The 15,222-nt window shown below is 51.5% G+C and overlaps 1 protein-coding gene across 3 annotated transcripts in view, besides 3 other annotated features; it reads right to left on the bottom strand.

Annotated features, from left to right (window-relative positions):
- Positions 25-264: an enhancer, noted in NCBI's record as "active region_11830". NCBI's record gives its function as "activates an Ori minimal core promoter by ATAC-STARR-seq in GM12878 lymphoblastoid cells {active_cell/tissue: GM12878}" and the evidence as "EXISTENCE:reporter gene assay evidence [ECO:0000049][PMID:35858748]".
- Positions 325-524: an enhancer, noted in NCBI's record as "active region_11829". NCBI's record gives its function as "activates an Ori minimal core promoter by ATAC-STARR-seq in GM12878 lymphoblastoid cells {active_cell/tissue: GM12878}" and the evidence as "EXISTENCE:reporter gene assay evidence [ECO:0000049][PMID:35858748]".
- Positions 1,951-2,245: a silencer, noted in NCBI's record as "tiled region #12190; HepG2 Repressive non-DNase unmatched - State 18:Pol2". NCBI's record gives its function as "represses a minimal TATA promoter and a strong SV40 promoter by Sharpr-MPRA in HepG2 cells {active_cell/tissue: HepG2}" and the evidence as "EXISTENCE:reporter gene assay evidence [ECO:0000049][PMID:27701403]".
- Positions 3,940-15,222, bottom strand: part of MYO15A (myosin XVA) — a 71,045-nt gene continuing 59,762 nt past the window's right edge. For all 3 annotated transcript variants that reach the window (NM_016239.4, XM_017024715.3, XM_017024714.3), the window contains 4 exons: positions 11,969-12,102; positions 11,450-11,583; positions 9,819-9,959; positions 3,940-4,971 (listed from right to left, as the gene is read on the bottom strand). In NM_016239.4, coding sequence (NP_057323.3) covers positions 4,870-4,971; positions 9,819-9,959; positions 11,450-11,583; positions 11,969-12,102 — 511 coding nt within the window. In that variant the 3' untranslated portion in view covers positions 3,940-4,869. The remainder of the gene's footprint in view (positions 4,972-9,818; positions 9,960-11,449; positions 11,584-11,968; positions 12,103-15,222) is intronic.

Genomic DNA, 15,222 nt, shown 5'->3' with positions numbered 1-15,222 from the left:
CGCAAGCGCAGACAGGAACCGCTTGCCGTCCGCCGCCCCTCCCCCACTCTCTGAGGGGCTTCAAGGGAACGCTCTCAAATAGCAACCTGTCTTCACGCCGCGCCGCCTCCAGGACCGAAGGGCTCCCTCTACAGGGGTGCGCTCATATTGCCAACAGTGTCGCCGTGCCGCGTCACGGCATCGTCCGAACGCCCGCAGACGCCTCAACCCCAGGGCGCATTCACCAGGGAACCGCCACAACGTAGGCCGCTCCGTTACCTCCCCCTTTGGCGCTTCCACTTCTTTAATTGGGCCGTGGGCCACGCGCCGGGCAGGCCCTGACTGGAGTTTCCGGAAGTCGGTTGGTAATCATGCGTGTCAATCAGGCAGTCTCCTTAGCTACTGTGTCCGTCACTTAATTAGCGGCTGGGCGAGCAGCGAGGACCCCTAAAGGAGAAATGGGTGGTTAAATAAGTGCCTGAATGGAGACTCCACCTGAGTAAAGCCCTTAGAACGCCTAAGGAAACTTCTGAAACCCGCGAAAACTTCTCAGACTGCGGGACCTGCAGCACCCGGCCCCAGTTCTGAACCCAGATAGGAACGTCCGGCAGAAGCCAGACGCGCGTTGTCGGGGTACAAGCCAGCCTGCCGCCGCTGCCGCCGCCGCCCGGAGCGGACGTTTCACGAGTCACGTCCCGGTGACGGCGAGCGTGGGGGCGCGCTGGGGTTGGCGTCGAGCCTCCTTGGTGCTGGAGATGGGCGTGGGGGCACCTCCTACGGGGACTCTGGAAGAAAACTCCAGGAAACGAACGGGCGCAAGGCTAAGGCTAAGCTATAGATAATGACTACAGTCAATTCAAAAAAGTTTTGAAGCAGTCAGCAAAGGCGTTGCCGGGCGCGGGGCCTCACGCCTGTAATCCCAGCACTTTGCGAGGCCAAGGCGGGCGGATCACTTGAGCCCAGGAGTTTGAGACCAGCCTGGCCAACATGGCAACCCCATCTCTACAATAAAATTTTTAAAAATGAACTGGGCGTGGTGGCGCGCGCCTATGGTCCTAGCTACTCAGGAGGCTGAGGTGGGAGGATCCCTTGAGCCCAGGGGATTGAGGCTGCAGAGAGCCGAGCTGGCGCCACTGCACTCCGGCCTGGGCGACAGAGCTGCAAAACAAAACAAAAAGGCGTAGCCGTGCAGGATGCACTGGAGGGCTCCAACAAATGGGGGTCGGGGGGGATCTGCTGGAAAATCTCCCATGTCTCCCAGGATAAAGTTCCCCTGCTTTATTTGGCACTCAAAGCTTTTCTTCAAGACTCTTCTGGCCTTGGCTCCTCCTCTCCTCTCTTTCCATGTACACTGAGCCCCAGCCTGGTCCTCATCCTGTAAGCCAGGTCTACAAACATACTGTGTCTCACCTCCTGGCCTTTGCCCAGGCTGTTTGCCATGGCTGTTGCCCATGCCAGTTCCTTATCACCCGTCTCCCTCTCTCTCTCCCCCTTCCCCTCCTCCTCCTCGTTCTTTTTTGACAGAGTCTCTGTTGCCCAGGCTGAAGTGCAGTGGCACGATCTTGGCTGACTGCAATCTCGACCTCCCGGGTTCAAGACATCCTCCCACACCTCAGCCTCCTGAGTAGCTGGAACTATGTAGAGGCGTGTACCACCACACCCCGCTAATTTTTCTGTTTTTAGCAGAGATGGGGTTTCACCATGTTGTCAAATTGGTCTTGGAACTACTGGGCACAAGATCCTCCTGCCTCGGCCTCCCAAAGTGCTGGGATTACAGGCGTAAGCCACTGCGCCCAGCCTGGAATGGACATTTTTTTAAAAAGCTTATCAAGTTTTTACTATGTGCCAGGACCTGTGCATATACTAGCCCAATTAATCGTCCAAACAATTCAATGAGGAGGGCATTATTATTATTACCATTGTATATATAGGGAAACAGGCCCAGAGAGGTGAAATGACTTGCCCAAGGCCATACAGCGAGTATGTGGCCTAGTGATGATTCAAACCCAGGCTGCCTGGTTCCAGAATCTGTGCTGTCCCTCACCGGGGCTCCGAGAGGGGAGAGTCCTAGCTCAAGAGCAGTCAGGGAGGAACACAGGGAAGCTTCCAATGCAGTGTCCGTTATGGGAGAGGCTGTGTCAACCTAGAGAAGAGGTGATTCACATTTTGGCTCAACCTGGATGATCTACTTCCAAGAAGCCGCTTGTAGTCTGTGTGGGAGGCCCCAGTTGTATTCTGAAAGCCAAAAGGGCCCCCTCGTTTTCACTCTGCCACATCATCCCTTCCTGAGCCTCATAGTTCAGCTTGACTAGGGAAAAGGTTTTGGGGCAAAAGAATTAGCCTGACACCCCCTCCCCCTCACACACACCATGTATGATCTCACAACAATGAGAAATGAGGGGCAGAGGGCAGGCCTCAGGGCTGCCTCATGTTGGAGCCCACTGTGCTCTGTTTTGGGGGTCCCTATACTGAGCATCAGCGCCGCAGGCAGAACCCCAGGGGTTAAGTGAGCTGCTGCCAGGCATGGCCCCTGCACAGTGGTAACTTGATTGACACCACACTCTTTCTGGTGAGTTCCTTACTTTCCTCACCTTGGGGTCTGCTTCTGGGGAAAGCCAACCCAAGGCAGTGGTGAAAAGCAGGACAGCCCTGTGGCATTTGTATCAGGGGCTCTTTCTTGATCCTCTCCATCCCAGGATGGTCTGATTGACCCCCTAGTCCTGCCAGCTGGGCCTTCTAATCTCTCCCCAGTTACCAACTTCTCCCCACCCATCACCACCACTAGAATCTATGACAAGTTTTCCAGCTAACACTGCAGCAGCCCCCTCTGGTCTCCCCAACTCCTACATTCACTCACCGTTCAGTGGTCAGAATGGCTTTAACAAAGTACAGTCTGTGCAGGTTGTGCCTCCCCTTCCCCCTCTGGAAAACCTTTGAAGGCTGCTCATGGCTCTTGGGATGAAATTCTAAATTTTTTTTTTTTTTGAGACCGAGTCTCGCTCTGTCGCCCAGGCTGGAGTACAGTGTCGCGATCTCGACACACTGCAACCCCCGCCTCCTGGGTGCAAGTGACTCTTGTGCCTCAGCCTCCTGAGTAGCTGGGATTACAGGTGCATGCCACCATGTCCGGCTAATTTTTGTATTTTTAGTAGAGGAGAGGTTTCACCATGTTGGTCAGACTGCTCTCAAACTCCTGAGCTCAAGTGATCCACTGGCCTCAGCCTCCCAAAGTGCTGAGATTACAAGTGTTAGTCACCATGCCCGGCCCAGAAATCCTAAATTCTTTTTTTTTTTTTTTTTTTTTTTTGGAGATGGAGTCTCACTCTGTCACCCAGGCTGGAGTGCAGTGGCATGATCTTGGCTCACTGCAACCTCTGCCTCCCAGGTTCAAGCCATTCTCCTGCCTCAGCTTCCTGAGTAGCTGGGATTACAGGGGCAGGCTGCCCCTGTATATTATTCTTATTTTAGTAGAAACGGGGTTTCACCGTGTTGCCCAGGCTAGTCTCGAACTGCTGAGCTCAGGCAATCCGCCTGCCTCAGCCTCCCAAAGTGCCGGGATTACAGTCATGAGCCACTGCGCCTGGCCCAGAAATCCTAAATTCTTAATGTAGCCCAGAAGCCCTATCGAAACCATCTTTGCCGGCCTCTTCAGTCTCAGATCCTGCTACAAGTAATGCGCACCTCAGGGCCCCTGCGTATGTTGTTCTCTTTCCTCTTTCCCTAGCTAACTCCCACTCACAGGTCTTATCCTAGTTTGCGGTGATTTGACTGTGATTAACTGCCAGTGCCTGGTATTTGCCTCATTCACAGTAGGTATTTAATAGCTATTGAATGGCTGAATAAGTAGATAAATCCTTTCTCTGCTGCCATGGATCTTGCAGCTATGCCCCCATCTACCTATCTAGTCTCCCCAAGTGTTCTCTGCCCCGCACAAGCTCCCCAAAGCACCAGCACTTTCTATCAACATTCACTCGTTTATTTTTTCATTCATATGACAAATATTTTTTAAGTGCTTACTCTCTGTTAGGCATCCTCCTAGGTTCTGGAAGATACAGCAGGGAATAAACATGATTTTCTCTGGAATGTTTATCCTGCTGTCTTCCATCTATTCTTAGCAAACTCCTACTCATCTTTCAAAACTCAATGCTAATGTCCCATTTTCCAAGAAGGCTTTTCCCAAACTTCTCCCTTGTACCACTCTCAAACTTGTGTGGCCCATCAAGTGATGGGGGTCTGGGGTTGGGGATACCCAAGGAGTGGGGGATGGTCTGTTCATAGGCAGTGAATCAGGGGCCTAAGGTAACTCCAACTCCTGCCTCCTCCCTCAGGCTTGTTTTCCGGCCACTTAGCAACTCCATGGAGAAATGGCTGCCAGGCACACCTTTTGTTTGCACAGAAATAACCAAAGACCAGAAATCCAGGCTGACTGGCAGCACAAGGAGGGGCCCCTTAGGAGGACATGTAAGGGCTAGGGTGTGGAGTTGGAGCAGATTCCAACATCAGACCCTGAGTAAACCAAAGGCAGAGGCCAGTTCATCTGGGCAACTGGTGTGGGGCTTCTGTGTCATAGGCAGGAGTTAGGGGCAGGGTCTGCAATGGGTACATGGCAGGAGGCCTCATGGTCCTGCCTTCTGCTCCACTGCACAGTGGGCCAGACTTTTGAAAGTTCCTCCTGCTATCTGATCCAAGTTTGCATGCTGCCATTCCATCCCAGTTCAGGATGGGTCTTCTTGTGTTCTTGGGGATTTGAGTTGCTCCTCCTGCCTCCTCTTAGTGTCCTCCAAGGCTCTGGCCCCTTACAGGGGTCATTGATCCTGAGAGGTTCAGTGATTTCTCTGAGGCCACACAGTGAGTCTTCTGGCAGAAGGTACTGGAGGGCTGGGGGCTGGGTCAGAGCAGGGTGATCTCGCTGGGGGGCAATGTGAGCCGCTTCTCATGGGCACTGAGCAGGTTCTCCACGTGCACGGCCACCACACGACACAGTTCCAGTCCCTGCAGGTGACAGTGACAGTCCACGCCCATCCAACACTTCCCCAGCTCTTACCTTGGGGTGGGAAGTACAGAATGGAGAGGTGGTTGGGAGATAGGTGGAGACCATCATTCATGCAGGGACCCTTGTCCCCACCTCCCCCAGGGCCTGAGAGGAGCATGAAGAGCTGGAAGGCCGAATGGTGGGGTGTGGGCTGCAAGGGGTAAGCAAGCAGGAGACCAAGTGCCTCTTCCGGCTTTGCTCCGTGTGAGCTGTGTGACCCAGGGTCTATCGCTTCACCTCTCTGAGCCTCAGTGGCCTCATCTGTAAGGTCTCAATTGACCAGGGGCCTGCCTCACAGACAGGGCTGTGGTGAGGATTCAGTGAGGCTTTATTGCATGTAAATTCTTTTTTTTTTTTTCCTAGATGGAGTTTCGCTCTGTCGCCAGGCTGGAGTGCAATGGCGCGATCTCGGCTCACTGCAACCTCCGCCTCCCAGGTTTAAGCGATTCTCCTGCCTCAGCCTCCCGAGTAGCTGAGACTACAGGCATGCACCACCACGCCCAGCTAATTTTTGTATTTTTAGTAGAGACGGGGTTTCACCATGTTGGCTAGGATGGTCTCCATCTCTTGACCTCATGATCTGCCCACCTCGGCCTCCCAAAGTGCTGGGATTACAGGCATGAGCCACCGCGCCCGGCCACGTGTAAATTCTTTAGATTTAAAAAATATGAATCCAATCAATAAATGGTAACAGTTTCTAACTGTCTGTTGCCATGGTTACCGCCTGGCTCCCACAGTGCACAATGGGCAGTGACCCAGGCTTAGTGCTCCCAATTGGAGCAGGGTAGGGGAAGGCATCAGGGAATTGCGGAAATCAATCTGTGAATGTGGTTCTCAGACGAAAGCCATTGTTGGAATCCCCCCAGGGAAGCTGCTCTGAGAAAGGATAAAATCATGTTAGAGGCGCACTCTGAGTGTTAACTGTGTGCCAGGCCTTGTCCTAAAGGCCTGATGTGTCCTACCTGTTTTAATCCCCACAGTGTCTCTAAGAGACAGGAGCTATTATATCCCATTCCACAGGTGGGGAAACAGGCACCGAGCCTTGAAGCTCCAGACTGCACAACTGGTAGGTGGTGGGATTTGAACCTGGATGGTAAGAGGCTTGAGGATCACACTCTGAAGTGCTCTCTGTTGAGGTTAGCTGTGCTGGCCCTGCCTTGGGGGCCACCTCGACTAATTAAATCAGCGTGTGCAAATGGAGTCTTCTCCTCCAGCCAATCCTTTACCTACCTACATGCTGCCATGTTCTAGGCCTTGCTGGGATTGTTGCTGCATTTGACAGTGTGGAACCTGAGGCTCAGTGAGAATCAGGGACACCTCAAGATCCCCTCACACAGCCTGTCAAAGGTAGGCAGGATAGGGACCCAGGTCTGTTAGTGCAACACTGCTGCACTTAGACATCACCTCCTCCTGGAAGCTCTCCCTGATTACCTCCCAGATAGCTCAGGTCCCCTGTATACCCTCCCAGCACTGATCAAGGTATATTTTATATCTGAGACCTGAGGCTCTGTGAGGGCCAGAGCTGAGGGGGTCTCAGTCACTTCAGTATCTTTGCTACACAGAGATGCTCAGTGGATCTATACTGAATGAGTGAATGAATGTAGCCCCTGACACATACAGGCCAGAGGCAGAGAGGGCAGCATAAGGAGGTCAGGTGGTGCTGCAAGGAAGTGGGAAAAGCAAAGAGGCCTTCATCCATCCATCTATCCACCCACCCACCCATGCAACCAACAAATATGTATGGAGCATCTACTATGTGCCAGGCGCTGAGTTATGGACACAGCATGAACAAGATGGATACGGTCCTGCTCTCTTGGAGCTGACATTCTGATGGGGGAATGATACAGTTTGGATATTTGTCCCTTCTAAATCTTGTGTTGAAATGTGATGCCCAGCCAGGCATGGTGGCTCATGCCTGTAATTCCGGCACTTTGGGAGGCCAAGGCGGGTGGATCACTTGAGGCCAGGAGTTTGAGACCAGCCTGGCCAACATGGTGAAACCCCGTCTCTACTAAAATACAAAAAAATAGCCGGGCATGGTGGCACATGCCTGTAATCCCGGTATTTGGGAGGCTGAGGCAGAAGAATCACTTGAACTGGGGAAGCAGAGGTTGTAGTGAGCCGAGATTACTCCAGCCTAGGCAACAGAGCAAGACACTGTAGTAAAAAAAAAAAAAAAAAAAAAAAGAAAAGTAAAAAAAAGAAAAGAGAAGAAATGTGATCCCCAATGTTGGAGACAGGGCCTGGTGGGAGGTGTTGGGTCATGGAGGCAAATCCCTCATGAATGGCTTGGTTACCCAAGGTAATGAGTGAGTCCTCACTCTAATAGTTCACACGAGAGACGGCTGTTTGGGCCCTCTCTCTCTTGTTCCCTCTCTTGCCACGTGATGTGCCTGCTTCCCCTTTGCCTCCTGCCTTGAGTAAAAGCTTCGTGAGGCCTCCACAGAAGCCAAGCAGATGCTGGTGCCACGCTTCTTGCACAGCCTGCAGAACCGTGAGCCAGATAAACCTCTTTTCTTTGTAAATTATGCAGCCTCGGATATTCCTTTATAGCAACGTAAAACAGACTAATATAAGGAGACAATACATAAACAAATAACTAAATGATTTCCAAGCCATAAGTAGGGCTATGGGGGCAGGGATCGTGAGTTCTTAGGGAGGAAGGTTAGGGAAAGCTTCTAGAAAAAGGTGATATTTGTGCTGAAACCCAAATAAAGGGAGAGAATGGGCCCTGTGATGGATCAAGGAAGAGCATTCCAGGTGGAGAGGACAGTGAGGGCAGAGGGCCCAGGGCAGGGAGAACAAGCTCAGCACAAGGGAGCCAGGGTGGCTGGAGGAATGAGCAGAGATGGGGGAGGTGGGAGAGGAGGCCACAAAGGTCATGGGAGGAAGGGACAGGGATGGGAAGGACTCCCAGATTTGGGGCCTGAGTGCCTGGGAGGATCGGGAGGAAAGCTGGAGAGGACTGTTGGTCTCCAAGGGGGATGCTGAGGGAGCCTGGAGCTCAGGTAGTCTGGGCAGGAGGTAGAAGTATGGATGCTGTGATGGTAGACATGGTTTTGAAAGCCTCAGTATCAGACAGGGTGCCCTGGGGAGAGACCCAGACTCAGCAACGTTTAGAGATTGTCTAGGGGGCCAGGAGTGGTGGCTTACACATGTACGCCCCTCCCTACACTTTGGGAAGCTGAGGTGGATGGATCACTTGAGGTCAGGAGTTCAAGAACAACCTGGCCAAAATGGTGAAACCCTATCTCTGCTAAAAATACAAAAATTAGCCAGGCATTGTGGCATGCGCCTGCAGTCCCAGCTACTTGGGAGGCTGAGGTGGGATTATCGCTTGAACCCAGGAGGTGGAGGTTGCAGTGAGCTGAGATCACACCACTGCACTCCAGACTGGGCAACAGAGCAAGACTTTGCCTCAAAAAAAAAAAAAAAAGATAGTCTAGAGGAGGAAAGACCAGAAAAGAACCAAAGAAGGAATGACCAGGCTCACACAAGAAGGCTGGAGAAGGCTGGGTGCAGTGGCTCACGCTTATAATCCCAGCACTTTGGGAAACTGAGGTGGGAAGATCATTTGAGGCCAGGAGTTTAAGACTAGTCTGGGCAACATAGCAAGACCCTGTCTCTACTGAAAAAAAAAAAAAAAAAGAGGTAGGAGAACACCACAGAGCCATTGCAGGGGCTCAGGGAGGTGGCCTCTGGGAAGGAGGCAGCAGACTCCAGGCAGGAGCAGATTGGGGTGTGGTGAGGAGTGCATTAGGACCCTAGACCCAAGTAACAGGCTCTCCAAGGGGCACAGGGGGCCAAGGAGACTTTGTCTGGTCCTGTCCCTCAGAGGCAGAGCTAGGACAGTGGAAGTCTCTCTCTCTTGCCCTGGGAAATCACCCCCTCCAAGACAGGCCCTGTCATGGGAGTGGTGCTGGGCCCAGACCTGGAGGGGGGATGTTACAGGCTGGACAGGGCAGACGTGTGGGTGTCAACCTCAATTCTGCATCTTCTCTGGGCCTGAATCCTATCTCTTCAGTGGGGTGAAAACGCTAGTCCTGCCCTGACCCCAGGGGGGTGTGAGACTTGGACAGGAGTCTAGAGGTCATCCATGCTTTTTTACATTTTATTTTAGAGATGGGGTCTCACTTTGTCACCCAGGCTGGAGTGCATTGGCACCATCACAGCTCACTGCAGCCTCGAACTCCAACACCTGGGCTCAAGCAATCCTCCCGCCTCAGCCTCCTGAATAGCTAGGACTACAGGCACTTTTTTTTTTATTTTTGCAGAGACTAGGTCTCACTATGTTGCCTGGTCTCAAACTTCTGGGCTCAAGTGATCCTCTTGCCTTGCCTCAGCCTTCCAAAGTGCTGGGATTACAGGCATGAGCCACGGTGCCTGTTTCACCCCTGCCTTTTAAGTAACAGCCACAGTTGCTACAAACATAGGAAGGCACAGGGCAGGTGGGTCTCAGTTTCACCATCTGTCACACAGGAAGCCCAGTTTCTCCACCCTCAATCCTGGGGCCTACAATCCAGCCTCCACATCTCAGCCCAGGTGAACTTTCTCAAACCTCTAGTGTCCTTGCCCTCTCATCAACCTTCTATGGCTCCGTACTGCCCTTTCCTGTGTTCCCACTGCCAAGTTGCTTCCCTGGATGGCCACCCATAATGATCTGCAGTTCCGTGCTGTGCTGTGGTTGGTTCTGTCCCATGCACTGGCCTGGATACTCCCTGGGGCATGGCAGGGACCTGACCTATCTTGGAGCCAGGCCCAGAGAAGGGCCCAGTGAGTGGAATGTTGGACTTAGCGCTGGGCCCACCTGCTCCAGCTGCAGCTGCAAGGTGCGCTGGGCCGCCACGTCCCCCAGCGCAATCTCCACATAGGGGTAGCTGGAGTTGGCCGTGGGCCGCTGGGTCCGCGTCGACTGGATCTCCTTCAGGGGGAACTTCACCATCAATTCCTGGGAGTAGGAGGAGAGGGGCCGGACAGGCCTGTGGGCGAGGATAGTCTCAACCACTCTTACCCCTGCCCTGCAAATCAGATCTGTAGGAGGCAGGAGACTCACTCCAGTTCAAGTACCAGTTCCCCAGTGACTTGCGTGACCTTGAGCAAATCACTTTACCTCTCTGGACCTCAGTTTCCTCACCTATAAAATTGATTCAACAAATACTGATGAGATGATGCATCTATCATGTACCAGGCACTGTTCTAAGTGCTCTAAGTGCTTGGGATAGAGAGGTATTGGTGCCCTGAACTTCACATCAAAGTTGCTTCTTGTGAACACCTCCACCTCTTTTTTAAATTTCCTTTTTGTGGAAAATGGGGCCTCCTGTGTTGCCCAGGCCAGTCTTAAAACTCCTGGGCTCAAGGAATCCTCCTGCCTCTGCTTCCCTAAGTGCTAGGACTGCAGATGTGAGTCAAGTACCTAGCCTGTCTAGGGGCTTGTTTTCTGGCCCAGGAAGCAAACTTGGACCACATACAGGGAAAGTCAGAGTGATAGAGAGTTAATGCCTCAGAAAGAAGCTCTTGCTAATGACAGATGGGAAGTGTTGAATGGACACCCCAGCTCCCTCACCCCCAGGAGAGAAGGAAAGCTCTAGTCTGTCTCTCAGGGCTCCCCAGCTGGACTGACCTCCAGGTGCCCACATCAGCAACTTGCTTGCTAACACCCCCTCTACTGGCTCCATCCCTTCCCTGTCTCACTTCCTCACTCCAGTGTTTCCTGGAATCAACTCTAAATCAACCACTTGCCCTGGAATCCCTGTCGCAGGGTCTAGTTCTGGGAGCAAAAACTAAGGGGGTAACAGGTCCTACTTATTATGGGCTGAATTATGTCCCCCACCAAATTCCCATGTTGAAATCCTAACTCCCAGTGCCTCAGAATGTATTTAGAAATAAGGCCTTTAAAGAGGTTACTAAGTTAAAATGAAGCTGTTAGGATGGGCCCTACTCCAATATGACAGATGTCCTTATAAGAGGAAATTTGGATACACAGAGATACCAGGGTTGTGCGCACACAGAGGAAAGGCCATGTGAGGACACAGTGAGGACAGCTGTCTGCAAACCACCAAAGAAACCAAACCTGCTGACACCTTGACCTTGGACCGCCAGCCTCCAGAATTGTGAGAAATAAACTTCTGTTGTTTAAGTTACTCAGTCTGTGGTCTTTTATTATGGCAGCCTAAGCACACAGATGTACTATTTGAGTGCATAGAGTATGTTTTACCTCATCTCACCTTCACAACAGCCCTATGGGTGGGGCTCAACTCTTATCCTCATTTTCCAGATGAGGAAAGCAAGGCTCAGAGGAGGGAAGAGACTTGCCTGAGATCATGAAGGTGGTAAGCAGTGGAACTGGGCTTCGGCGGCTGGAGGTCTTGGCCTCTTGGAGGGGGTTGGGGACCAGGGAACAGAGGGTGGCGATGGCAGTGCCAGGCTGAGGCCACTCACATGAGTCTCTGTGCTGAGAAAGTTGAGGCCATTGTGGTTGATGGCAAGGATGCAAGGGGCTGGCACAGCAATGTTGCTGCAGCTCTGGATGAAGAAGAAGGAGGAGCCGAACATAGGTAAGGCGCTGAGGAGGCCTGGGCAGGGAGAGGGGGTGGCAGTTACGTGCTGGGCAGGGCTCACTGACAACAGCCATGGCCCTGAACTGCATAGCTTCTCTGGGCTGTGTCCAGCCAGTGCAGAAGCCCTTGGTCTGGGTCTCCTCCCATCTCTCTGGCCTCCCTTCTCATGGCCTCTTCCTCTATCCCTGCTTGCAGCTCTTCTTCCTCTGCCCAGGGCCACTTTGAGCCTAGGTGACATCTCCATAATGTAAAGACATGTTTTCTCCAGGCAGGTGCTCAGCTTGACTGGCACTGAAAAATGCCTTTGTGCAAAGAAAGAGGTGCCTCCATACCCATCCTCCATGACCACCCTCCTCAGCAAAGCCCCCTATGATCACCTCCCCTGCCCTGCAGCTCTTACCCAGAAACTGGGCACGGGCCTGGTGGGGGCTGAGCGCCTGTGTCTGCTGCCGGTGCTGGCTGACCAGGTTGAGCCAGGTCGAGCCTGCCGTTGTACGGTAGAGCTGGGCTGGGATGTACTCCTGGACTTCCCGCCTGTGTACGGAGGAAGGGGAAAAAGGTCCTGAGTGAGCTCCCAGGCTCAGGCAATCCTCACTGTGCAGCAGGCATGCAGAGCAGTCCTGATCTATGCACCTCCCTGGAAGACTAAATGCTAGGGAGTGTAAATGGGCTGAAAGTGGGGTAGAGGTGCCCACAGTGCCTTGGTACTGCTTAATCATGGCCGGGGCCAGTACTGCTAGGATCCCTGTTTGCAGTTAAGGGAACTGAGGCTCTGAGAAGTTCACTGACTAGTTCAAGGTCACACAGTGACTGAGTGAGTTAGCGGCATGGGTTGGTGGGGGCAAGATGTGAACCCAAGGCAATTTCATCCTTCATACCTTCTGCCCCCAAGGAGAAGCAAAAGCCGGAGGGGTGAGAGGAAACATCAGGGTAGGCAAAGCAGCCACAGGGCTGTGCAGAACCTTGAGCAGAGGAGTGCTGGGCCTCCAGGCTGAGGCCCCTGGGCATCAGCTTGCCCCAGCCCTCTTCCCTCTGACATACGCTGGCTGCTACCTCAGGCAGCCCCTTTACCTCTTTGGACATCTGGAAAATACCAATAGCAGTACCAGCCCATCCTGACCAGCTGGAGCTGCAGATGAAGGAAGGGTGGGGAGAAAACCAGGGGAACCCCCTCCTCCCAAGAGATCCCCTGGGTAACATCTGTCCTTCTTTCCACTGCTGGGGTAAGGGCCTGGCATCTGAACCCAGCCTCCCCAGTTTTGGATTCTAGTTCCCCCACCATTAGCTGGCTAGTCTTCAGTAAGCCATATAACCTCTCTGGGCCTTATCTGTAAATGGGGAAAATAAAATGGAGTTGGGAAGAATAGCTGAGATAATGCAGATGCAGAGTCCCTTGCAAAAAGTAAGAACTCAGTGATTATTTTCATCCAGGATTGGGATTATATCTTTATGTGCTTCCTGCTCTTTTCACTTAAAATTATACATTAAAAAAAGAGCTTTAGGCAAGGCGCGGTGGCTAGCGTTGAGATTACACCTGTAATCTCAACACTTTGGGAGGCTAAGGAGGGAGGGTAACTTTGAGCCCAAGAGTTCGAGACCAGTCTGGTCAACATGGTAAGACCCCCGTCTCTACAAAAATTTAAAAATTAGCTGGGCATTTTGGCATGCACTTGTGATTCCAGCTACTTGGGAGGCTGAGGTGGGAGGATCACTTGAGCCCAAGAGGTCAAGGCTGCAGTGAGCCGTGATGGGGTCACTGCACTCCAGTCTGGGTGACAGAGAGAGACTCTGTCTCAAAATAAATAAATAAAATAAAATAAAATAAAATAAAATAAAATAAAAATAAGGAGCTTTACATATTGAGCCCTTACTGTGTTACAGGCGCTGGAATACACATGGTACGGACATCATCTTACTATTCGTTTTTCCAGGGGTTCTCAAAGTGTGGTCGAGGGGGTTGAAAATCATTTTCATCACATTAGGAACTTGTCATTTTCTCTCTTGTGCTCTCACAAGTGTACAGTGGAGTCTTCCAGAGGCTGTATAACATGTGAGATGGTAACAGGCTGACTGCAGAAGCAGATCTGGGAAGGCAGCTGCCTTAAGTCAGACAGTACAGAGCTTTGAAAATGTAAAAGTACAGAGCTTTGAACATGTAAAATTCTCACTAATGGTTTTTTTTTTTTTTTTTTTTTTTTTTTGAGACAGGGTCTTGCTCTGTTACCTAGGCTGGAGTCCAGTGGTGCAATCACGGCTCACTGCAGCCTCGAACTCGAACTCCCAGGCTCAAGTGATCCTCCCACCTCAGCTTCTCCAGTTACTGGGACTACAGGCATGTGCCACCACGCCCATGAATCACTAAATTTTTTTTTGAAAATAGAGTTATTTTTCATAAAAAGTTATTTATATTGACATTTAGTGGGTTAATTTTTATTTTTAACTGAATTAATAAATCAATATTTTAACAGGGTAAATATATTCATTGATATAACCCACATAAACAAAAGCTCTTTGAGGTCCACTTTTTTTGTTTTTGAGACGGAGTCTTACTCTATTGCCCAGGCTGGAGTGTAGTGGTACAATCTCAGCTCACTGCAACCTCTGCCTCTTGCGTTCAAGCAATTCTTCTGCCTCAGCCTCCCGAGTAGCTGGCGTTACAGGCGTGCACCACCATGCCCGGCCACGAGGTCCTGTTATTATTATTATTATTATTATTATTTTGAGACGGAGTTTTGCTCTTCTTGCCCAGGCTGGAGTGCAATGGCATGATTTTGGCTCACTGCAACCTCCCTCCACCTGCCAGTTTCAAGTGATTCTCCTGCCTCACCCTCCCAAGTGGCTGGGATTACAGGCATGCGCCACCATGCCCGGCTAATTTTGTGTTTTTATTAGAGATGGGGTTTCGCCATGTTGGCCAGGATGGTTTCAAACCCCTGACCTCAGGTGATCCACGCACCTCGACCTCCCAAAGTGCTGGGATTACAGGCGTGAGCCACTGTGCCCAGCCTATTTTTATTATTATTATTATTATTATTATTATTATTATTATTATTATTTTGAGATGGAGTTTCGCTCTTGTCACCCAGGCTGGAGAACAGTGGCACAATCTCGGCTCACTGCAACCTCCACCTCCAGGGTTCAAGTGATTCTCCTGCTTCAGCCTCCTGAGTAGCTGGGATTACAGGCACCCGCCACTACCTCTGGCTAATTTTTTTTTTTTTTAAATTTTTTTAGTAGATACGGGGTTTCACCATGTTGGCCAGGCTGGTCTCAAACTCCTGACCTCTGGTGATCCGCCCATCTCGGCCTCCCAAAGTACTGGGATTACAAGTGTGAGCCACGGTGCCCGGCCAAGGTCCTCTTTTCAAGAGTGTAAAAAGGTCTTGAGACCAAAAATTTGAGAATGACTGATTTACATTGTGAGCATTAATTATAACTTAGAGAACGTCAGTTTAAAGGCTGTCTAGGCCAGCCAGGGTGGCTCATGCCTGTAATCCCACTGCTTTGGGAGGCTGAGGCAGGAGGGTTACTTGAGCCCAGGTGTTCAAGATCAGCCTGGGCAAAGTAGCAAGACCCTGTTTCTTTTCTTTCTTTTTTTTTTTTTGAGACGGAGTCTTGCTCTGTCACCCCGGTTGGAGTGCAATGGCGCTATCT

Source organism: Homo sapiens, chromosome 17 (assembly GCF_000001405.40).
Source record: "Homo sapiens chromosome 17, GRCh38.p14 Primary Assembly".
Taxonomy (NCBI): domain Eukaryota; kingdom Metazoa; phylum Chordata; class Mammalia; order Primates; family Hominidae; genus Homo; species Homo sapiens.
The sequence above is the reverse complement of the archived record's forward strand: the minus strand, read 5'-3'. Positions and strand labels throughout refer to the sequence as shown.